Source organism: Homo sapiens, chromosome 10 (assembly GCF_000001405.40).
Source record: "Homo sapiens chromosome 10, GRCh38.p14 Primary Assembly".
NCBI classification, from domain to species: Eukaryota; Metazoa; Chordata; class Mammalia; order Primates; family Hominidae; genus Homo; species Homo sapiens.
In genome coordinates, this window is record NC_000010.11 from 3936512 (window position 1) to 3960243 (window position 23732).

The 23732-nt window shown below is 44.3% G+C and overlaps 1 long non-coding RNA gene across 3 annotated transcripts, besides 1 other annotated feature; it reads left to right on the plus strand.

Annotated features, from left to right (window-relative positions):
- The first annotated feature begins 6434 nt into the window (after nt 1-6434).
- LOC105376367 (uncharacterized) lies at nt 6435-12846 on the plus strand. 3 transcript variants are annotated; one of them, XR_930585.3, is made up of 3 exons: nt 6435-6703; nt 9633-9842; nt 11998-12846. It is a non-coding gene; the product is annotated as an uncharacterized LOC105376367 (long non-coding RNA). The 3 variants fall into 3 exon arrangements; XR_930584.3 differs by lacking the exon at nt 9633-9842; XR_001747333.2 differs by lacking the exon at nt 6435-6703 and having other exon boundaries at nt 8911-9842.
- Nucleotides 22886-23387: an enhancer, noted in NCBI's record as "H3K4me1 hESC enhancer chr10:4001589-4002090 (GRCh37/hg19 assembly coordinates)". NCBI's record gives its function as "activates a minimal SCP1, AML or CMV promoter by ChIP-STARR-seq in primed H9 embryonic stem cells {active_cell/tissue: H9 hESC(primed)}" and the evidence as "EXISTENCE:reporter gene assay evidence [ECO:0000049][PMID:30033119]".

The window sequence follows — 23732 nt, forward strand, 5'->3', positions numbered from 1 at the left end:
GGTTTCATGCTCAATTTGAAGCAACTGGCTCATTGTCTCAGGGTGGTTCTAGAACTTTGCCTTCAGGTGGGGCTGGGGAGGGAGCCCTGGCATTTCAAGACAGGAGGGGGTGATATGGTTGGGCTCTGTGTCCCCACCCAAATCTCATGTTGAAAGGTAATCCCCAATGCTGGAGGTGGGCCTGGTGGGAGGTGACAGGGCCATGGAGGTGGCTCCTTATGGTCTCACACCATCCTCCTGGGTGCTGTCATCCCTATCGTGAGTTCTTGTGGGGTTGGCTTCTCATGGTCTGACACCATCCTCCTGGGTGCTGTCGTCCCTATGTGAGTTCTTGTGGGGGTGGCTTCTCATGGTTTAACACCATCCTCCTGGGTGCTGTCATCCCCGTCGTGAGTTCTTGTGAGATCTGGTTGTTTAAAAATGTGTGGCACCTCCCGCGTTGCTCTCTCTTCCTCCTGCTCCAACCATGTAAGATGTGCCAGCCTCTCCTTTGCCTTCTGCCATGATTGTAAGTTTCCTGAGGCCTCCCCAGAAGCAGAAGCCACTGTGCTTCTTGTACAGCCTGTGGAACCGTGAGCCAATCAAACCTTTTTCTTTATAAATTACCCAGTCCCAGGTATTTTTTTATAGCAATATGAGAATGGACTCATACAATGGGTATGTTCATCTGCATTCATAAAGGTACAGAAAAAGGAATCAAATGTTTTATTTTAACATCAGTTCAAAAATGTCCATCCATGTCAACCTCTTCTCTCCTAATATGTTGCATCCAGTGTGTCCTTTGCAAAACCTAAAAAAATTATATCCCTCCCATTTATAACCCTCCACAGCTTCCCATTTTCTTCAAGTAAGCCACACACTTCTTCCTGGACCCTCAAGATCCCCCCTGGACCCCCGAGAAGGCAGGTGTGAAGCCTTTTGTCTATAAACTCATCTATCTCTCTCCACTCCCCAATTGAGCTCTCAAGGGACACTGACATCCTTTCTGTTTCTGGAACATTCCAAGCTGATCCTGGCTTAGGGCTTCTAGAGGCCCCCTCAGCAGGAAAACCCTTTCTTATCTCCCACTTGGCTGGCTCCTTCTCTCTGCCCACATCTCACTCAGACTCTGAGAAGCATCCCCCCAAATATTCCATCAAAAACAGCTCCCACCCCCACCCTCCATCCCAATCTATCACGTTGTTGGTTTTTCTTCATAATGTATTTGAAATTGCTCACTTGCATATTAATTTACTTACTGATCAGAATGCAAATTAGATTCGAATGTCAATTTACAACTGCCTGGATGCTTTTTTACCATTTTTCAGCCGTATTCCTAGGACTGAGGTGCACAGAGATTACTCAATACAAACTTGTTAAATGAAATCAATGCTTATTAAACTGATGTCTCCTGTTTACAGGGAAAAATGCCCAGTGTTACAGGTGCAGCGATGGATGAGCCCCAGTCCAAGAGCTCACGGAAGGGCTGCCTGGGCTGCATACCTGTGCGTGCAGTCGCAGAGAGCTCGTGTTGGGGTCGCCACAAACCCCCCAGGGCCACAGGGACCCAGGCCTGGACTCCTGGGGGGACTTCTCTGCAGGCGCTAAGGGGTGGGTGGGTGTCCAGCAGGGAGACAGGGAAGAGGGCGACCCACGCCATACTCACGGTGCTTGTGGCCAACTTGGTCATGGTTATGTACCCACGGGACCTGCGGTCCCGGGCAGAGTTCATGGTGTAGCTGTGGTGAGAGTGAGGCCCTGACTCAGTGTCCTGTTGTGTCCAGGTAGAGCTTACTTTTGAGAAGGGAGCCAAAAGATTCCTTTTGCATAAAAAGTGAGACAGTCCAAGCTGGTAGGGAGCTGGGAGAATGTCATGGGCTTTGAGAGACCTTCATCGTCAGAAGGAAAACTTTAAAAAGTACTTACTTCTCATGAGTAGGATGAAGTCCATCACTTCCTGTGTGGTAGATTTCCTTGGATAGTCCTGACTAAGTCAGAGCCAAAGGATTTAGAGGTATCCAGGTATCAAAAGAAAACCAATTTCAGGCTGGGCGTGCTGGCTCATGCCTGTAATCCTAGCACTTTGGGAGACCGAGGCGGGTGGATAACGAGGTCAGGAGATAGAGACCAGCCTGGCCAACATGGCAAAACCCTGTCTCTGTTAAAAATACAAAAATTAGGCTGGGCGTGGTGGCTCACGCCTATAATCCCAGCACTTTGGGGGGCCGAGGTGGGCAGATCACGAGGTCAGGAGATCGAGACCATCCTGGCTAACACGGTGAAACCCCATCTCTACTAAAGATACAAAAAATTAGCTGGGCGTGGTGGTGGGTGCCTGTAGTCCCGGCTACTTGGGAGGCTGAGGCAGGAGAATGGCATGAACCCAGGAGGTGGAGCTTGCAGTGAGCCGAGATCGAGCCACTGCACTCCAGCCTGGGCGACAGAGCGAGACTCCGTCTCAAAAAAAAAAAAGAGAAAGCCAATTTCACTTCAGGCCTTGCTGAGCCTCCTTACTGTCCTGAATCCAGGAACCCCAGTTCCACACCACCTGTCATGATCTAAATGTTTGTGTTCCCCCAAAATGCATAGGTCAAAATCCTCACCTCCAAGGTGATGGTATCAGGAGGTCAGGCCTCTGGAGGCGATGAAGTTATGAGGGTGGGGCCCTCACGAATGGAATTGGTGCCATTATAAGAGAGGCCCATGAGAGCTCCCTCACCCCTTCCTCCCTGTGAGGACACCAAGGGAAGGCAGGGCTGTCTATGATGCAGAAAGCAGGCCCTCACCAGACACCTGATCTGCTGGAGCCTTGATCTCTAACTTACAGGCCCCAGAATGGCAAGAAATAAATGTGTGTTGTTTAAGCTGAGATGCAGTCTACGGTATTTTGTTCCGGCAGCCCACATGACTAAGACACCAGCCTACCAGGCCTTGACATCACAGCATCACAGCACAGGCTATGGCCTGTAGAGGCTCACGTGGTAGGTAGAAGCAAGCCCCTTTCATCGTGGGCAGGTATCTGCACCGTGTTATGTGTTTGCAAGTTTGGAGTCTGTATGCCATAGTGACAGCCTGGGAATGATTTAGGGAAGAAACAAGGGGAACTGAGGACTGGGCAGAACTGGTAACCTAACCAGGAGAAATGATGTGTGCGGTCCCCTAAATCAAGAGCTTCCCCCCTGCAGGGCCGCAGGTGCACAGGGCTCTGCACTCCCAACAGGAGCCCCTTTTCCCATCTGTCCAACCAGGGAGTCTGTAAGGCAGCTTTGTTTCTTAGTTTTTGTTTTTATTTGTGAAGATGGGGTCTCACTATGTTGCCCAGGCTGTCTCCTGGGTTCAAGTGATCCTCTCACCCTGGCCTTTCAAAGTGTTGTGATGACAGGTGTGAGTTCTTTTGATCCCTCTCTCTCTCGGCACCTCTGAATTTGGTTAGGGAGGTATCTCAACTGTACAGAGAATTTCATAGGAACCCTAATATCTCGTCCATTGACAGCAAGTGTCCATGCACATAGCAAAATATTCTGTCAAACCTCCACTCAGAAAATTTAGTAGTTTCATCACTGTTCTCTAACCTTTCAACAAAACACAAAACCTGTTTCTTAAATATAACTGTGGAAAATATTAGAGAACACTCTGCCCTGTTTTTCTGCCGACACAAATATTATTCTTGTTGGCTGGTGTGGTGGCTCGCATCTGTAATCCCAGCACTTTGGGAGGCCGAGGCAGGAGGATCACCTGAGTTTGGGAGTTCAAGACCAGCCTGACCAACATGGTGAAACCCTGTTTCTGCTAAAAATACAAAAATTAACCAGATATGGTGGCCATGCCTGCAGTTCCAGCTACTCAGGAGGCTGAGGCAGGAGAATCACTTGAACCCGGGAGGCGGAAGCTACAGTGAGCTGAGATCGTGCCATTGCACTCCAGCCTGAGTGACAGAGCGAGACTGCATCTCAACAAAATTTTTTTTTCTTGTTGTGATATGTGTATGCACAAATATGTGTACCATGAAATATTACTCAGCTTTAAAAAGGAAGAGGATCTTGCCCATTTGTGACAGCGTGGATGAACCTGGAGGACATCATGTTAGGTGAAATAAGCTAGGTGCAGAGACACAAACACCGCATGATCTCATTTACATGTGGAGTCTAGACATGCTGATTCACAAAAGCAGAGAATAGAACAGAGGTTGCCAGGGTCCAGGAGATGGGCGGATGGGGGGCTGTTGATCAAAGGGCATAAACTTGCTGTTATAAGAGGAATGGATTCTAGAGAACCAAGGTTCAGCGTGGTGACTATAGTTTACAACAATGTACTGTATACTTGGGATTTGCTGAGAAAGTAGATTTTAAGTGTTGTCACGACACACACATACACAAAGGGAAGGTGGTGGACGTGTTAATTAGCTTGATTGGGGTAATCATTTTACAATGTATATGTATATCAAAACATCACATTCTACACCTTGAATATATACTATTTTTATTTGTCAATTAATCCTCAGTTAAGCTGAAATACATTAAAAAATGAAATAAAAAAAAAAAAAAAAACTTCTTGGAATCCCAGGGGAAGAGGAAGAGTGCTGGGATGTCTCACGACAGCATGGCTCCGAGAAAGCATGGCTAAAAGACGCTGCTCTTCCTCGGCTAAGGAGATTTTTGTCGTTCACTTGTTCAACCGGGGTAAGTTCCCTGTTTCTCATAGAGCGATTCTCCTCCCTCAGTCCTAGGCCGCTAAGACGTCAGGGGAGCTGATACACACTTCCAAGAACACGGAGACATCAAAGGGAGCTGAGAGTCCACAGCGGCAGCAAAACAGGTGCTGCTTCACATGCCCTTTGCTAAGAGTCCTGGAGTTTGAAGTCTCCACGGCCGATCTAAAAGCAAGTTCCTGAGGAAGGAGCCGGAAAGTTCTCTGAAACCAGTAGTGGAAGCTAGTCTCTAATAAAACAAAATGTTACCACGCTTCTGGAAAGATTCCACACATCAAACATTGAATAAAAAGGACAATTCGATTAACTGAGGCTGATTTCTTTTGACAAATTGACTTTGAAAAGGAATTCAGAGCAATAAAAAGGCCACGCCCTGACTTGAAAGCTTTAGCTGCTGGAGGGAGAATTCACAACGCATTTGCAAGGGGCTGCCGTAATCAACATGTTTGTAAAACAGGATGAAGGACTGCCCATAAATTTCAAACCCAAATGAGCAGAAAAGCACACAAAGGAGAAAATGATCAATTCAAGGCCCAAATGCCGGCGTCGTGTAAAACGTAACTCATTGAACACACACGCGGTTGGCCCGTGTTGAACATGCGTGACACAGCCCCGTGCAGTGGCTCACACCTGTAATCCCAGCACTGTGGGAGCCTGAGGTGGGCAGATCACTTGAGCTCAGGAGTTCGAACCAGCCTGGTCAACATGGTGAAACCCCATCTCTACTAAAAATACAAAAATGAGGCTGGTGTGGTGGCGTGCACCTGTAACCCCAGCTATTCAGGGGGTTGAGGCATGAGAATTGCTTCAACCTGAAAGGTGTGGGTTGCAGTGAGCTCAGATCGTGCCACTGCACTCCAGCCTGGGTGACAGAGTGAGACTCTGTGGAAAAAAAAGGAAAGAAAGAGAAAGAAAGAAAGAAAGAAAGAAAGAAAGAAAGAAAGAAAGAAAGAAAGAAAGAAAGAAGGAAGGAAGGAAGGAAGGAAGGAAGGAAGGAAAGAAAGAAAGGAAGAAAGAAAGAAAGAAAAAGAGAGAGAGGCAGGCAGAAAGGAAGGGAGGGAGGAAGAAAGAGAAAAAAGGAAAGAAAGGAAAGGGAAGAAACAAGGAAAGGAAGGAAGGAAGGAGGGAAGATACGTGACAGGCCTCCTCTGCCTTTGTTTCTAGAGCTGCTGCCAGCCTGCTGCTGCCTCTCCACGCTTTGCCTGAGGCCAGAGAATCCCACAGACGATGCTATTTCATGGCATCACTCTTTGAACCACTGCAAGCTTCCTTGTATAGCCCCCAAAACACAGGAAAGGCTGCATTTTAGCTGGGCCGGCTTCGAGACCAAGACGCAGTTGATGCACTTCACAATGTACTAATTTGTTGTTCACTCCATGAACAAAAACTGAGGCCTACTAGGTTCCCCAGAGCTGCTCAAGATGCCAGAGCCATGGAGGGGGGTGAGGGGAAGGGCAAGAAGGTGCCCATAGTGCTTATAATGTAGGAAAGGGGGACAGGGACGGGCAGACAGGAAAAGAAGGGAAAAGGCAAGCAGAGAACAAGGTTGTGAAAAGTGCTCTGTAGCCCGGGCGAGAGAGATGTCGGTGACTCCGAGTAAGGCATGATATCAGCATTACAGGGAAGGGCTCTGACTCAGTGTGATCTCAAAGTTGATAGGATTGCTCAAAGATTAAGTATTCAGACTAAAAGAAAGAGGGAGGGACCAGGATAAATTAAATTATCAGCTGGTTTACTGAGAAAACTCAGAGAAGAAGACATTCAGGGAGACACCAAGCCAGGGAGGTGACAAGTATGTGGTAAAATCCGAGCACGCAGAATTTGGGGGAACAGGACTCTAGACTGCCTCTAGAGAGAGCTGTATTGAAGGCCCTGCGACCCAGCACAGAGAAGGGAATGGTGCTCTAGGTCCCTGCCTCTGCAGAAGACAAATCCAGGAAGAGAACCAGGAAACTGCAGAGTAGCCAGCCACATGCGAGAAAAATCTGAAGGAGACGAAAATGTTTCAGGAGAAAGGTACTGAGCAACCAAGGGGCTTAATGCTGCTAGGTCAAGCAGATTCAGAAGTGAGATGCCACTGCTGGCTCTGGAATCGTGGTGTCCCTGGGGCTTGGCTGGCCAGAGCAGTTTCCCTGGGACATGGCCAGAGCAGACTTTTGGAGTGGGTGGGGGGTCGGAGAGGACAAGGAAAGGTGATTCCCTAAGGGGTGAGCGCATGAAGATTAGCAAAGTCGTGGGACTGTGGAGAGAGGTGTGTGTGCAGTGACACTGGGTCTTCCTCTGTTTTGTTTAAATGACAGAGGTTACTAAGCCACGTGGGTTTGTAGATGGTGATGCTAGAGAAGAGGGACACTCATCCTGCAGAAGGGGAAGGAAAATTATCAGTCACGTTCTTGAGAAGACAAGGAGCGCTTGGCTGGGCTGAAAACGCAAGGGGAGGATAGGACCTTTGCCGAGGGCAGGACGACTTACAGTGACACGAGGAAGGCACGAGTGAGGGTAGCAACGCCGTGTGCAGGCAGTCACAGTGTTGGAAAAACCAGGATGTTCCTAAACAAATCTTTTCACTTTCTAATGGAGTGTGAGGAAGGATTGTTAGCAGAGAGTGTGTACCTCTGTTGGGGAGGCCTGTGGAGTGAGGCAGAGACAGTGAAGGTGCAGGGAGCTGCAGGTGGGAGTGTGGGTGCACCTAAGATCAGGGCCTGAACAAAGTGAAGCTGTCATCACAGTGGCAGGAAGGGGGAGGCTACCTTCCCTTCCTGATTCCACTGCTGAGTTACAGGCATGGTTGGGAGCCTAATCCTAACCCTAACCCTAACCCTAACCCTAAACCTAACCCTAACCCTAAACCCTGACCATAACCCTGAAGCCTTACTATGACCCTAACCTTAACCCTAATGCTTAACCCTAACCCCAACTCCAACCCCTAAGCTTTAACCCTAACCCCTAACCCTAACCTCTAACCCTAACCCTAATGCTAACCCTCGGTGGGTGTGGATGACATTTTGACCAGGGTTGGGATTTGCCAGGGGAGTTCAGCCAGAGAGAGTTGGGCAAGGTGAGATGAATAATATTTCAGCTAGGATCAGATCAGGTTCTTCTCCAAGTAACAAAGACCAAAACTAAAGGGTCTTGAATACAATTGAAGGGTTTTTGTTATTATTATTCTTTTTTGTTTTTTGAGACAGAGTCTCACTCTGTCACCCAGGCTGGACTACAATGGTGCGATCTTGGCTCACTGCAACCTCTGCCCCCTGGGTTCAAGCAGTTCTCCTGCCTCAGCCTCCTGAGTAGCTGGGATTATAGGTGTGCACCATCACACCCAGCTTTTTTTTTTTTTTTTTTTTTTTTTTTGTATTTTTAGTAGAGACAGGGTTTTGCCATGTTGGCAAGGCTGATCTCAAACTCCTGACCTCAGGTGATCCAACCTCCCCAGCCTCCAAAAGTGTTGGGATTACAGATGTGAGCCACAGCACCCAGCCTGTTGTTGTTTCTTTCACATTAAAATCAGGAGGTGGGTGACCAACACAGAGTAGGGCAGCCCAGGTACATGTGTTCCTGAGACACCCAGACTCTGCCATCCCTAACTTTTACCCTCATGGCCCAAAGAGGCGCCCAGAGCACCAGCCATCACATCCACGTTCCAAGCAGCAGGATAAGAAGGGACACAAAAATGAAGTGGAAAAGACATGTTTTAAGGGATATTCCTGGAAACCATCAAATGACACTTTCCTTCATGGTTAGCTTCAATATAGAGAATCTATTCTGCCCAGTCATTTGTCAAGATAAACCTGGGGGCTCTATTTCTATGGAACATCAGTAGGAAGGGCAGGGAGGGGAAACCACTCATCTTCTTAGGGAAGATAACAGTGGGTGAGGAGAAAGAATGAGGCTGATGGATTGAGGCATCGGTGAGTTCAAAGATTTGCTCCAGCTGAAGTACAAGATTCCAGGAAGAAGAGATTGTGGTGGACAGGCCTGGGGCCTGCAAAGCTGACATTCTGGTAGCAGCGTTTGGAGTCACAGAAGGGAAGTTATTGGAGGTAAAGAGGCCCATGGGCCCTGGCGGGACTCATGGAGAGCCTGGAAAGAAGTGAGTGTGGGAGGAACATTTTCTCAAAGCGGCCTCTGGTGTTTAGAATGGAAGGAATTTTGGATTCCCCTCTGTCGTCATCCAGCTAAAAATTTTGAAGACTTTTTTTTTTTTTTTTTTGAGATGGAGTCTTGCTCTTGTTGCCCAGGCTGGAGTGCAATGGCACAATCTCGGCTCACCACAACCTCCACCTCCCCGGTTCAAGCGATTCTCCTGCCTCAGTCCCCTGAGTAGCTGGGATTACAGGCATGCACCACCACACCCAGCTAATTTTGTATTTTTAGTAGAGACAGGGGTTCTCCATGTTGATCAGGCTGGTCTCGAACTCCCGACCTCAGGCGATCCGCCCGCCTCGGTCTCTCAAAGTGCTGGGATTACAGGCATGAGCCACCGCGCCCGGCCCACTGAAGACATTTTAATTGTGCATTCATTCACTCAGCAGACATTTATTGAGTTCTAAATATTCTGCTAAGCCTTAAAAATCCGTTAATGAGAGAGCCTTCACCTCTGGTTAACAGACATTGCCAGTTAAACAGACGCTATCAGCCTTGTCCCCCAGCCAGTAGTCAAAGCTGTTGTTAACAACAGTTGCCATCACAACTGATTTTAAAGTTAAACATTCCATCCATTTCTCTAGATATCAAAGGCACACCGTAATAAACTCATCTAGATGCTGCTGTATGGACGGTCACTTTTGCTAACTGATTGAGTTTCGCAGAAGCCCTTGTGTGCTACTGTCACAGCCTTGACTGGCAATTTGTGTGAATACCTGACTCTGAGTCACAGGACGGAACGGATGGATATGTGGTTTTCATCTGACAATTTATTTTTGTGGTGGTTCACTCACTACAGGGCTTTTCAACTGGTGCATAATTTAGGTTAAAGTTTCTGAGCAGCTCTGGACTGCAAAAGGGCCTCCCTTCACTGAGCAGATGTATATGACCCCGTGCTTCTCCGATTCATACCAAACTTCAGAGAAACTCCGGGAAAGGTTCCTTCTGTATTTATGGATGAGAATTATGTGAAGCCTCTACAACCATCGTAGTTCATATCTCCAGAGAGGTAAAGGAATGCTAACAGAACAAGTCACTGAAAAGGGAGACTTGGCCAGTGACAATCAGGCTTCTCAGCTTCCACAGTGGCTGCAAACCAGTTTGAGCAGATTTCTGTTTGGCCCTTTCTCGGTAGGCTCTACCTCATGAACACCAACCTTTGCATCTGGCACGCTCCTTTTTCAAAGGCATGTCATAGCGGTAAAATAATTTAGTTGCAAAGTAGAGTTCTAAAATAGAATACAGTAGAATTTAATAGATTAAGACATTGTGGAATATATTATAATTGAATAGTAGGGATAAAATAGAAAATATCGGAGACTGTGTCTTGCAACATGAGTAAGAGGAGTTTGATGAAATTAGGTGGGAAATCAAAATTCTAGCCAATTGAGGACCAGGGTGGGGTTTAAAGGGAGCAGTCGCTGTCTATACAAATTTCTTATTCCTGTTTTATATAGAAACTGGGAGATTTTCCCCCCTCTCTTCCTTTCTTCTTTTATCTTTTCTTCCTTCATTTCTTTCATTTTTAAACTTTCATTCTTTTTTCTGTTCTTTTTATCCATCCCCCCCCTCCCTTTCCCTCCCTCCTTGCTTTTTTTCTTTCCTTCCTTCCTTTTTCTCTTTTCTTTTTCTTTCTTTCTTTCTTTCTTTCCTTCCTTCCTTATTTCTTTTCTTTCTTTCTTTTCTTCTTTCTTTCCCTCCCTCCCTCTCTCCTTCCTTCCTTTCTTCCTTCCCTAGCTCCCTCCCTCTTTCTTTCTCTTTCTTTCTTTTTCTCTCTCTCTCTCTCTCTCTTCCTCCACCTCTCTCTTTCTCTTTTAATGAGTCACAGAAAAAAAATCTTTTTAATCTTCTTTTTCCTTTTGTGCTGTGATTTTTAACACCCAATTCTAAGAAAGCTCTGTAATCTTTAGGAATTAGGGATACAGCTTCCAGTAAACTTTCTTTCATTTAGTTACAAATAATTCAATTATAAACCTCAAAGTTTCTGGTTTCTCCGTGTTAGACTCTACTACCTTTGCAGACCACTAAGCCTTTGTTTTAAAAGTCATTTTACAGCTATATCCCCTCTCCCAAAAATAAAATAAAAATTTATTTTTACAAGTCTAATAATAAGTGTTTGAATCAAATTCACTGACCTGCAAAGCAAACTAGAATAAGAACTGAATTTAAAATTCAGAGAAAAGAAGCAGTGGTGTATCAGAGAAAAGGATAGAGATACGTTAGAACAAAAGCAGACAGTTCTTGTCCTTATGGAGTTTACAGTCAAGAAGGAAAAGCACACGAAGTGAAGAACTGGAAAGACAAATGTGCTGGTACTGATGGGGGAGGCTGCACATAAATGGGGCAGGGAATGTCGGGGGAAAACTCTCTGACTTTTCCTCTTATGGTTGCGTAAACCTAAAACTTCTCTAAAGCATAAAATCAGCCAGGCATGGTGGCTAATGCCTATAATACCAGCACTTTGGGAGGCCAAGGCGGGCGGATCACTTGAGCCCAGGAGTTCAAGACCAGCCTAAGCAATATGGTGAAACCCTGTCTCTACAAAAAATACAAAAATTAGCCAGGTGTGGTGGCATGAGCCTGTAGCCCCAGTTACTTGGGAGTGTGAGGCAGGATGATCGCTTGAGAGGTGGAGGTGGAAGTTGCAATGAGCTATGATCAGACCACTGTACTCCAGCCTGGGGACAGAGCCAGACACTGTCTTAATAAAATAAAATAAAATAAATAAAAAGAATAAAATCTATTAAAATGAAAACAAACAAAAAATAGCAACAGCAAAAAAAAAAATGTAAAACTATAATCATGAAAGAAACATAGAGAGGAGCCAGAAAGGGGTGTATTTTGGTGACCTGACCTAATTTTTTCTGTGGAAGCTCGGATCTAAATGAAGAGTTAGTGTTGGCCAGGCAAATGGCTCAATGTTCTGGACACAGGCAAGGTCATGCCCAGAGCCCAGCGGTAGGAGAGGATGGGGCTTGGCACGTTGGAGGATGACCAGGGGGCCAGTCCGGTGGGATGTGGAGAGGGTGGAAGGGAGGCTGAGGGAGGTGGCACTAAATTGGGGCTAACAGCGATGGGCGATTATCAGAGATTTTTAAGAAGGTAAATGCTCTAATAACATTGACTTTTTTAAAACAGTTTGCCCCACTGTGTTTTATTTACAGAGGTATAATTTGCAGTGAAGTGCACAAATCAGTGAAATTTTACGTATGCAACCTTTATCACTCACCACCCAAACCAGAGTGGTGTCTTCCCAACACCCCAGGGCCTCTAGTCCTTTTCCAGCGTTGCCTGAAGACACAAACTACTGATGGCTGCATCCACATGACTGACTTCAAACACAGCACGCTGCAGGAGAAAAGCCGGATACGCGCGTGGAAAGTGGGTGGCTCCACCACCCTGCTGTTCAGGTTTTCTTTCTGAAAGTTCTTTTGGCTTTATTATGGAATAGAGGTTACAGAAAGGCAAAAGCTTTGGCCGTAGCGGGTGGGAAGATCTTCCTTACCCTGGAGGAGGAAGTAGGGTCTCCGTAATGTATGTGTGGTACTCAGGGCTCCCGGCAGCCCGAAGCCAGAGTGTGTCCTCACCCTGCCCCGGGTCAGCCCTGTGACCTGGAGGGAGCAACTGAAAAGCTCTGGGCCTCGGATTCCTCATCTGTGAAATGGGGATGCTAACAGTGCTACCTCCTCTGGTTGGTTTGTGGCAGAGGACACATGAGGCAACCTGTGTAAAATGCTTGGAGGGTGGCCAGTGTGGTTACCATGGAGATTGACTGGTACCGTCTTCCACATCCTGTGTTGACTAAGCGCGCACACCAGAATACAGTTCCAAACGATTATCAAACATGAATACAATTCAGAAAATAAACATGCAGCAAAACTTGCCATAAAGATTGCATGAAACTATCACTTTAAGAAAAATACATTAAAAATTACCTTAAATACCGAAAAGTACTTTTGTAAGTAAGGATCAGTCCAATAAATTTAACCTGTATTTGAATCAGTGTAAAACAACTTGGTTTATAATTTTGTCTTCATCGAGTGGGGGTGACTTTTGTAGCTTCTGTCACTGCTGCCTGGAGTATAGAATTAAACACCTTTTTGCAGAAAAAGCCTCCAGCTGTTTTTTTTTTTTTTTTTTTTTTTTTTACTCTCAGATAATATGGGGTGATTTTTAAAAGACCTGAGACACACAAAATGCTACCTTTTGTAATGCTTTAGGAGGAGGTCTTCAGAAAGTATGAACCAAACGCAAAATAAAAGATTTTTTTTTTTAAACGTTATAAGCACTGCACACGGATGAACTCTGCCAGGCTGGTGGGATTCTTTCTGATTAGATGACTGAATTTTATTTTTGGATTTTCCCCTTTTGCTGTATCCTTTTTATTTCTTAAAAAAGGAAAAAGGGTTAGCTGCCTGCTAGTGCACAGTTCTGCCTTTTACAGAGAAATCTGAAATCCAGGCCAGGGAGAAAAAGATGCTTTTATCCCTCCAGTGTTCGCAGCGTGAAGCATTTGGCGTTCACTCTGCAGCCCTCCTGAAACCAGATCTTCAGTGACCCGGGGCTCAGCCTGGGTGGTGCTGAACAGTGACCCGGGGCTCAGCGTGGGTGGTGCTGAACCCTGGCAGTGGTGTTGGTGGGATCTGTTCAGGAGACCGTGCTGTCTTCTACATTTACCTTTCAGTCTGGTCCTGCAGGGTCCTTTTCCGCCTTCGCTTTTTAGCTCTTAGGGGAAGGGTCCCCTGAAGCTTTCACAAATCCCAGCGGGGCTGCTGATTGGGTCTGAAACAAGATCAAGAAATTCAGGTAGCAAGAAAAGATCGGAGAGGCAGCCAGGGAGAGGCAAAAGGTGGACACTTTTCCTTTCATTGACTTTGAAAGTAGCTTTCTGTGCTTATATTTTGAGAATATAAGAACACAATAGGGAGTATAAACTTTTATAAATGAAAGGAATGAAATCACAGGTATTGCAGGTGAGCTATTAAATCTAGATAGGGAGCACCCCAATATCTGACTCTCTCTGAAACCCCAGGGTGATAGGCCCTGTACAGGAGGGGAGTGAGGCTGTTTATTGGAAAATTCCCATTGAGGACATGTGAACACAAAGAAGGGGATGATACCCACTGGGGCCTATTCGAGGGTGGAGGCATGAGGAGGGTGAAGATTGAAAACCTACCTCTCGGATACTATGCTAATTGTGTGGGCAACACGGTTATGTGTACACTAAACCCCCTCGATACACAATGAGCCCATATAACAAACTTGCACAGGTACCCCTTGAACCTAAAATAAAAGTTGGAAAGAAAGAAAAAAGAAAACACCCAGCAGACCATGTGAGGACATCTACAGCACGTGTCGCATGCCCTTCACTTCAGCCTGTGTTGTGTCGTCCCATCCAGGCAGCATGTACATGCTGGGGGGTTGGAGGGGGGTCCTGGGCCCTGCCCACCATCCCTGCAGCAGCTCACCAGGCCCTTGCTGCCAACTGTGTTCCAGTTTGCTGGCTGCACCTTGGAGAGGCCTGCTGGGGTGGCTGGGGTAGGAGGAGGGCGGCCGATGTCCTTCGGGTGAGGTGGGTGCTCTTACCATATCCCAGGGAAGTTTGCTTTTGCTAAAAGGATTTCTTTCTCTTCACCAGCCTTGACTTTTATTGCAAATGCAGCCCCAACATCAACCCTTTAAAAAAATGTCTCTGGGGTAGGTGCGTGCCAAGCCTCAAGAAAGGAAGTGGTGTTTGCCTGGCCCCCAAATGGGAGGTGAGGGGTGCAGCAGTGAAGGTGCCGCGAAAACCCTCCTCCACCACCGAGTTCAAAGGATTAGTTTGGAGATGGCCACCTCTGATGCCCTAGTCACGCTATGAATTATTATCCTATCTCATTTTAAAAAAAAAATTAAATGTATTAAGCATTATACGTAGTTCAGGTACAATGCTACACACTCAATATACTAACTTTGAATAAGTCTCATTCCTGACGCAGCTCACATTTCAGTAAAGTAGAAACATAAGTAAGCAGAGATTTATAATGAATTGTGATAGATGCTAATACATTCATGAAACAATACAGCCACCAAGCAGGACTTAAACATCTATTGTTTTTTTATGTGAGAGGAGTTCCAAGCACTAAGACTAATTGTATTATTAACTTCAACTAATAGTACCCGGTGAACACATTCAATGTCTCCTCCAGTATCTTGTGTTCTTAAATGGAATATTCTTAGCTTTTAGAGTATGTGGTTTAAAATCCTGGGTCAACCACCTACTAGTTTTTAAAACTTAGCCAAGTTACTTGAACTCTGTGCCTCAGTTTACTCTTCTGCAAAATAAAAAATTAAAAATAATACTTAACTCATAGGTTGTTCTGAGAATAAAATTGCTTAATACATAAAAAGTGATTAAATTAGTGCCTGGCCATAACGAGAACTTTATAAACTTTAATTTTTTTTTTTTTTTTTTTTGAGATGGAGTCTCACTCAGTCACCCAGGCTGGAGTGTGGTGGCGTGATCTCAGCTCACTGCAGCCTCCACCTCCTGGGTTCAAGTGATTATCCTGCCTCAGTCTCCCAAGTAGCTGGGACTACAGGGGTGCACCAACACACCCAGTTAATTTTTGTATTTTTAGTAGAAACGGGGTTTCACCACATTGGCAGGCTGGTCTCGAACTCCTGACCTCAAGTAATCTGCCCGCCTCAGCCTCCCGAAGTGCTGGGATTACAGGCGTGAGCCACTGCTCCCAGCCTATAAACTTTAACTCTCTAACTCTACCACGGTGATGTTTGTTCTTGCTATCCTCGTCAACACTAATGAATTTCCCTTTCGTTGTTCTGTGGTGTAAAAATAATGCTCAAGTCGAGTTGGACACACACGAGGCTCTGACGCGACCATGGCTAGACAAACTTGTATTATCATTTGGCACCGCTGGCAAGGCTGCCAGGCCTGGCTTCCTGCTCACTGCCTGGTAAGAGCCAAGCTAGAATGATTGGCAAAAATCAAAGTCTTGGTCAGAAGAGTTCCAAAACCATTCTTTTTTAAGATTCAAAACACATTTACCAAGGAAAGTCAACTTCTAGCACTGACAAAGCCAAATTTCTCAGAAGGCAGACTCAAACACACAAAGAATATACAAAAATTGGATCAAAATATTGACCTTGGAATCCACATTGATAATTCCAGGCTTAATGCCAGTCAATTCTAATTGGCTAAAACAATGATACTATTGTTGTATAATCCTATCCTGCTGTAGGTTATAAAGAATAGTTGCCATATTATAGACAGGTGTTAAATATGCACTTTTGAGATGGAGTCAAGGGGAGGGAACATAGACCCCAACTCTTGATAGGAGAAATGCTAAGAAGTTTGGGGGCTATGTTTTAAATCCAAGGCCACCTTTAAAAAATGTTAGAAGTCATGTTTATTAAATTTGAGAGCATAATAGGGCCAAAAATAGGAAAATTACTGAACACTGAAGTATTGTTAAAACATTAAAAACTTGAAAATTAAATCAACCGACTCATATGTGAATCTCCATATTTTGTAACAGTGATCTCCACTATAGACATATATATATAGATATATAAACATGTAAAATATTTCACCCAAGTTAGGAGCCAACTCCTTACATTTGTTTTCTAAACTTAAAAATAAAAGTAGAGTAGCTCCTATATGACCCCAGGTGACTTGAACATGATTTACCCATATTCTTCCAACAGTTTCACGTCCTGTAACTTAACCCACTGAGTTTCAGGTACAGTATTTTAAGGTACATAACCAATAATGTAGAAATAACTTTAGCTTTTTATTATAGACTCTCAAAATAAAAGTGTCGTGCAGGCTCAGACACCCAAAGCCATGGCCTTTAAGAGGGCCTGACCCTCAGAAATCACACCACACATCTACAACCATCAGATCTTTGACAAACCTGACAAAATCAAGCAGTGGGAAAAGGATTCCCTATTTAATAAATGGCGCTAGGAAAACTGGCCAGCCATATGCAGAAAGCTAAAACTGGACCCCCTTCCTTACACCTCATACAAAAATTAACTCAAGATGAATTAAAAAATTAAATGTAAAACCCAAAACCATAAAAACCCTAGAAGAAAACCTAGGCAATGCCATTCAGGACATAGGCATGGGCAAAGATTTCATGACAAAAATGCTAAATGGAATTGCAGTAAAAACTAAAATTGACAAACGGGATCTAATTAAACAAAAGAGCTTCTGCACAGCAAAGGAAACTATCATCAGAGTGAAGAGGCAACCTACAGAATGGGAGAAAATTTTTGCAACCTACCCATCTGACACAGGTCTAATATCCAGAATCTACAAGGAACGTACACAAATTTACAAGTAAAAAACAAAAAAATCCATAAAAAAGTGAGCAAAGCATATAAACAGATACTTCTCAAAAGAAGACATGTATGTGGCCAACAAACATATGAAAAAAAGCTCAATCATTAGAGAAATGCAAATCAAAACCACAATGAGATACCATCTCACACCAGTCAGAATGGTGATCATTAAAAAATCAAGAAACAATAGACGCTGTTGAGGCTGCAGATAAATAAGAACACTTTTACATTGTTGGTGGGAATGTAAATTAGTTCAACCATTGTGGAAGACAGTGTGGTGATTCCTCAAGCATCTAGAACCAGAAATACCATTTCACCCAGCAATCCCATTACTGGGTATATACCCAAAAGAATATAAATCTTTCTACTATAAAGACACACGCACATGTATGTTTATTGCAGCACTATTTACAATAACAAAGACATGAAACCAACCCAAATGCCCATCAATGATAGACTGGATAAAGAAAATGTGATACATATACATCATGGAATACTATGCAGCCATAAAAAAGATCATGTCTTTTGCAAGGACATGGATGAAGCTGGAAGGCATCAGCCTCAGCAAACTAACACAGGAACAGAAAACCAAACACTGCATGTTCTCACTCATAAGTGGGAGTTGAACAATGAGAACACATGGACACAGAGAGGGGAACATCACACACTGGGGCCTGTTGGTGGGTAGGGGGCAGGGGGAGGGAGAGCATTAGGACAAATACCGAATGCATATAGGGCTTAAAACCTAGATGATGTGTTGATAGGTGCAGCAAACCACCATAACACATGTTTACCTGTGTAACAAACCTGCACATTCTGCACATGTATCCCAGAACTTAAAGTAAAAAAAAAAAAGAGAGAGTCTGACATACGGAGATTGCAGTTAGCTTTAATTTACATTTAATTTGCTATTGCATTTGAAACCATTCATTCCCATGCAATGCCCTTTTTCTGCACGGTCTTTATTTCTTTGATGTACAGCTCCATAAAGATGCCAGTGCAATTCTTCTCCTTTCTATCAGAGGTCCTTAAGTAATTTCAAAAGCCTGTTTCATTCCTGACTTTATAAATGCAGAAACAGAGGCAAAGAAGCCTTCAGTCAACAGCTCAAGGACACCTAGAGCCTTGGCAGCAGTGCTGTGCGGGGTGAGTGCCCTTGGCTCTTCAGGAGGCCCCTCTCCTAATTGCCCGGCACAGCCACCTAATTCACTTGGTGCTTTTAGAAAGCAATAGTTATTGCTGCCTGACTCGGGATAGACTGTATTATAATCCTATAATATGTGAAATTAATTTTCTCAGTGATTCAGTACCAGATTTTTCTCCAAGCTGGAGCTAATCCAGACAGTTAAAACTATTTTCTTGATTTTTGTTGTCCAAAAGAAGATAGCTTCATCTTACCTTCAAAAGTATTAGTAGGTCTACAGGAAAGGTCTAATGATTTCTGTTTTTTTTTTTTTTTTTTTTTTGAAGAAATACATTCTACAGCTTTATCTGCTCTGAAGAACCGAGTATAACTTCTAAATTGGTATGTATAAATTATTTCATAATCAGAAAATGTCTAGTTTTCTAGGACAGTGTCTAGCCAAAACAATGCAGTTATATATTATAAAAACTTGATAAAAATGTGCTTCTCACTCACTCTGGCATTCTATCCCAGAGTTGGATAATGTTTTGGGCCTCTGTGACCCATGTAAATAATTGAAATGGCAAGTGAACATACACTCATCCATATTTATTGTTTTTTCTTTTTTCTTTTTTCCAAACTAACCCTGCAGTGCAACAGGCTTTGTTGTCTTTGGAGCTGAAGTAAGCGATCTTTTCATTATATATTCAGGGACACAAAGAAGGCCGCAAGTCGCTTTTTAGGAAATGCGAGTACACTACTGGGTTCCTTTAGAGAAATTAAGAGCAAGGTGAACGATTGGTCAGCAGGGGTGATCGTGATCGGGGCTGTGGCAAGAACCCAGCAGGAGACAGTTGATTGCGCTCTCCAGCTCTCCGGTGCTCTCCAGGCCTCAGCACAATCTCCAGCGTTCCAGGCTTTGTCTTTCAGGAGCTGGACAGGGGTCCTCTATAGAAAAACAACATTCAGTCCTCCCAAGAGACAGCCTCTTCCCTTTTAGTTTCACGCTCCAAGCAGGCAGAGAGAACCATAAACTTTTCCTTCCACAAAAGTAATGAAACACGTGAGTGCGTATTTATCAGCTCCATTTTATTTTTGTGAAAACCTTGTCTTGTTACATTTCATAAAATTTAGAAGTGCAGGAAGTGTTGGACATTCTCTTGTTTATTCCCCGACTTTGATGTTCGGAAGTCAGAGATCAAGATGTGCTTGTCCGCAGGTGGCCAGTTGGCAGATGGCCCCGGGCCCTGGTCTGCTACCTCCTGGTTAAACTATCCTCCTACCTGGGGGCTTTGTTCAGCTCTGCTTCATTTAGTGAAACGCTGACGTTGTAAGCCTGCTGTGGAGTGTGTGTTTAGGCAAATAGGAGCTGTGCTGTCTGCAGCAGGCCCAATGCCATGTGGGTAAAGAAAGGGACCCGGTATTAGGGAGGGAACTCCTGAAGTCTTTGTGCTCCACCATCTTTTGAGTGATTTTTCAGGGAAAGGCTGGGAGTGGTGGGGAGGGACAAACGGGGGACTCTGCTGGTGACTTCATGCTGTGTGGCCTGGGCTCGGAGTCCTGTCCTGGCAGCTGCATTCTTTGTGGTGGAGTCTGCCTTAGGGCAGGGCCTAAGGCTTCCACCTCACCTTCACTGGGGAAGAGGACTGTGTAATCCAGCCCATTCTGAAATGATTACTATTTATGTATTTATTCATGTATTTTTTGAGACAGGATCTCACTCTGTCTTCCAGTCTGGAATGCAGTGATGCTCACAGTCGAACTCCTGGGCTCAAGCGATCCTCCCGCCTCAGTCTCCCGAGTAGCTGGGACTACAGGCCAGTGCCATCACACCGGGCTAATGTTTATTTATTTATTTTGTTGTAGAGACGGAGTCTCACGAGCCCAGGCTGGTCTTGAACTCCTGGCCTCAAGCGATCCTCCTGCCTTGGCCTCCCAAAGCACTGGGATTACAGGTGTGAACCACTGTGCCCAGCCTAAAATTATTTTGTTCTTATACTGTGCTTCTCTGCTGAAGTAATGTGCTAGTCATGGCAATTTACTCAACAGCTACTTAAAAAATGTCTCTGAATGATGATGGCAGTATCCCGTGGGACATCAGGAAGCTACTTACCTCCCTCTGCTGTGTTTTAATTTTACCAATAGCCATTCAGGACTTTTATAGAAATTCCCATCAACATCTCAAGAGGGTTTTCAGTCTTTCCTTGAATAGTAAAATGGCACAGTGTAACCTCAACCTGCACCAACAACTTACAGTATGTGGAGTCCAAATGAACGATGTTTTGTTGCCCTCTAAGCTGGGCCTGTCACTCGAGCACTGGTAGGACCAGTGGCTTTGTAAATCAGTCTTTTATTTATTATTATTATTATTATTATTATTATTATTTTTATGAGATGGAGTTTCGCTCTTTTTGCCCAAGCTGGAGTGCAGTGGCCCCATCTCAGTTCACTGCGACCTCCACCTCCCGGGTTCAAGCAATTCTCCTACCTCGAACTTCCGGGGAACTGGGATTACAGGCATGCTTCACCACACCCAGCTGATTTTTGTATTTTTAGTAGAGACAGGGTTTTGCCATGTTGACCAGGCTGGTCTCGAACTCCTGACCTTAGGTGATCTGCCCGCCTTGGCCTCCCAAAGTGCTGGGATTACAGGTGTGAGCCACCACGCCTGGCTGTAAATTAGTCTTTAATTTAAACATTTCCTCAGCTCACTCTCTGCACCTGATTTGGATAGAATAGGGTAGGAGTGTTTGAACTTTAAATATTATTTTAAAGAGGTGGATTTATTCAAAGCATGGAAAACGTTAGTTGTACCTTTCCTTCCTAAGGCGCTTTCTAAGGAATCCAGCTTACAATTTCTGTAGCTATACTTTATTTCCAGTCCCAATCAGTCATCAGGATATAGGAGTTTTATTGATCTGTGCAGTGTATTCTAGTTAAAAAAATTATGCCAAATCAAATAATTGAATAGATGCCCCAGTCAAAATTCTCTAAACATTACTGTTATGTATAGGCCATACTATATATACAAAGTAAATCATGAATCATTAAACACTAAACATTACTATTACGTATAGGCCATACTACATATACAAAGTAAATCATGAACCATTAAACAGAACCATGCAATGCTTTTCTTTGTGAACCAGTGATCAAAACCAAGCCCACGAGAACTAGAAAGTCTTAGGTCAAATCAGTGTTATTGGAGAAGAGATCAAGTTATTTGACCTTTTCTCGGAGACAATTTAAGTCTGACACATGATCTTTACCCCCTGGAGAAGCAAATTCGCAACTCACTGCACTAGATTCACCCTGCAATACAATCTCTGAAAATACACCTTCCACCTTCCAAACAAGTATCAGAAGATGAACTGCATTCCATTCAAATCATAAAAACTATTTTGTACCGGTCATCAGAAGCTAATTCTGTACTTATCGCACCTTGAGGGAGATCTGCTGCTGCATGAGATAGACACAAGGGGCAATTTATTCATGGAGAAGTGAGAGCAGCAGGATGGAAATGGGGGAAAGAACTTTATCCCGGCCACTTCTGGGAGAGGGCAGAACATCTCTGATGGAAACGGGTGTTCCTGATTCTAAGAAATAAATGCTCTGCTGTGTTGACATGAAGCTACTCTGTTCAAATTCAAGGGCAACAACATTTTATACAGCCTTACTCTCCCAAGAGATGGGTTAAAAAACACACATTGAGACATATTTTAGTATGGGGTGGAGCTCCATGTATGTCGACAACAGGCTAGTAATGCGAAAGATGTGTAATATATAATAAAGCTGCAGAGAATAAATCCAAACCATGAGATTCTATTCCTATTTCTTAAATACAGTCTGATTGTGAAATCATTCTCCTATACTCCTTTGTAATTTTTTGGAGTATTTTCAGGAATTGCTGATATTTTACTCACAACAAAAAAATACACAAAATGAATAACAAGTCATAAATAAATCGAAAACAGGGAGTTTATCTGTAATGATCTTTCCTAAGCCATGGATGGCAGAGCTAAAATCTTGCCACCTCCTACATTTGATGAATGATACTGTGATACTGCTGATTTTGGTCTTAATTTTTTATTTTTGTTTTTATTTATTTTTAAGACCGATTCTTGCTCTATTGCCTAGGCTGGAGTGCAGTGGCACAATCTCTACTCACTGCAACCTCCACCTGCCGGATTCAAGGGATTCTCCTGCCTCAGCCTCCCGAGTACAGGTGCCCACCCCACGCCCGGCTAATTTTTTGTATTTTTAGTACAGACGGGGTTTCACCGTGTTAGCCAGGATGGTATCAATCTCCTCACCTTGTGATCCACCCGCCTCGGCCTCCCAAAGTGCTGGGATTATAGGCGTGAGCCACAGCGCCCGGCTTTGGTCTTAATTTTTTTTAAAAAGGGTCCTACGTTATCACTGTAGCCTAAAACTAGAAATGAAAAACAAAACAAAACAAAAAAAAACAGACTATTGAGGGTTTCTTTCATAAGGAATTTCACCCATTCTACTTTTGGAAAAATGAATGTTTGGAAAATATGCAATTAGGTATCATCTTGGATCATAAAGAAATTTGAAAGGAAATTTTTAGAAGTTTTGATTTTCTCAGTTTTTGCAACAGATACTAAGCATCTAATCATCCCTTGTGTGAAGAAAAGAAGAAGCTTCTTTTGACAATGATGTGTCTCATTCTCAGGCTCTGTTTCTCTAACACGGGATGCTGCAGAAGCAGCCACATCTCCACCTTCCCACGACGCGGTTTTGTGTTTGGAGAGTACAGCAGCAGTTTAGGCAGCAACTAAGAACCAAGGAAACGTATTCGTAAATGCTCTTTGCCACAACTTCATCTCCCTTTTCTCCCCGTCACCTCAAAAAACCCCCACACAGCCAACGATAGACACAATGCTCCTAGAAAAGGAAAAAGAAAAGGAGGAGGAGAAGACAATACCAAAACGTGCATTTTACTGTGTTGATGCTATTCAGGATGCAAATAGAAACAGCCAAAGTCCCAGCGCCTCAGCTGAGGGAAGACAGAAGCTGAACCAGGCGTGCGCTGTGGCTGTCCCCGTGCAGGCGGAGGTGTGTGATCTCGAGAGGAATGTTTATTATTACTTCTCTTCCCCCTAGAGAGGTAGCTTCATTTCCTTAATGCAGAGTAGAGCTGGTGGGGAAGTGTGAGGTATTCAGCCCCTCCCTGGGCACCAGGCTCCTGTCCTGACCTGCATCCATTGTCAGGGATGTCCTCAATGCACACAGGAATCATCTCCTCCCAGACACAGCTGGTGGGAACCTAAGGCCATCTGGAATTCTGCAGAATGTTTCCATGATAATGGTTGGAACTTCTAGTGCATCCTTTTGTGCCACATTTTATTTTTGTGGCCTTGAAGCCACAAAGCCTTCACAGATGGCACTTTGCCTGGTTGCATCTGG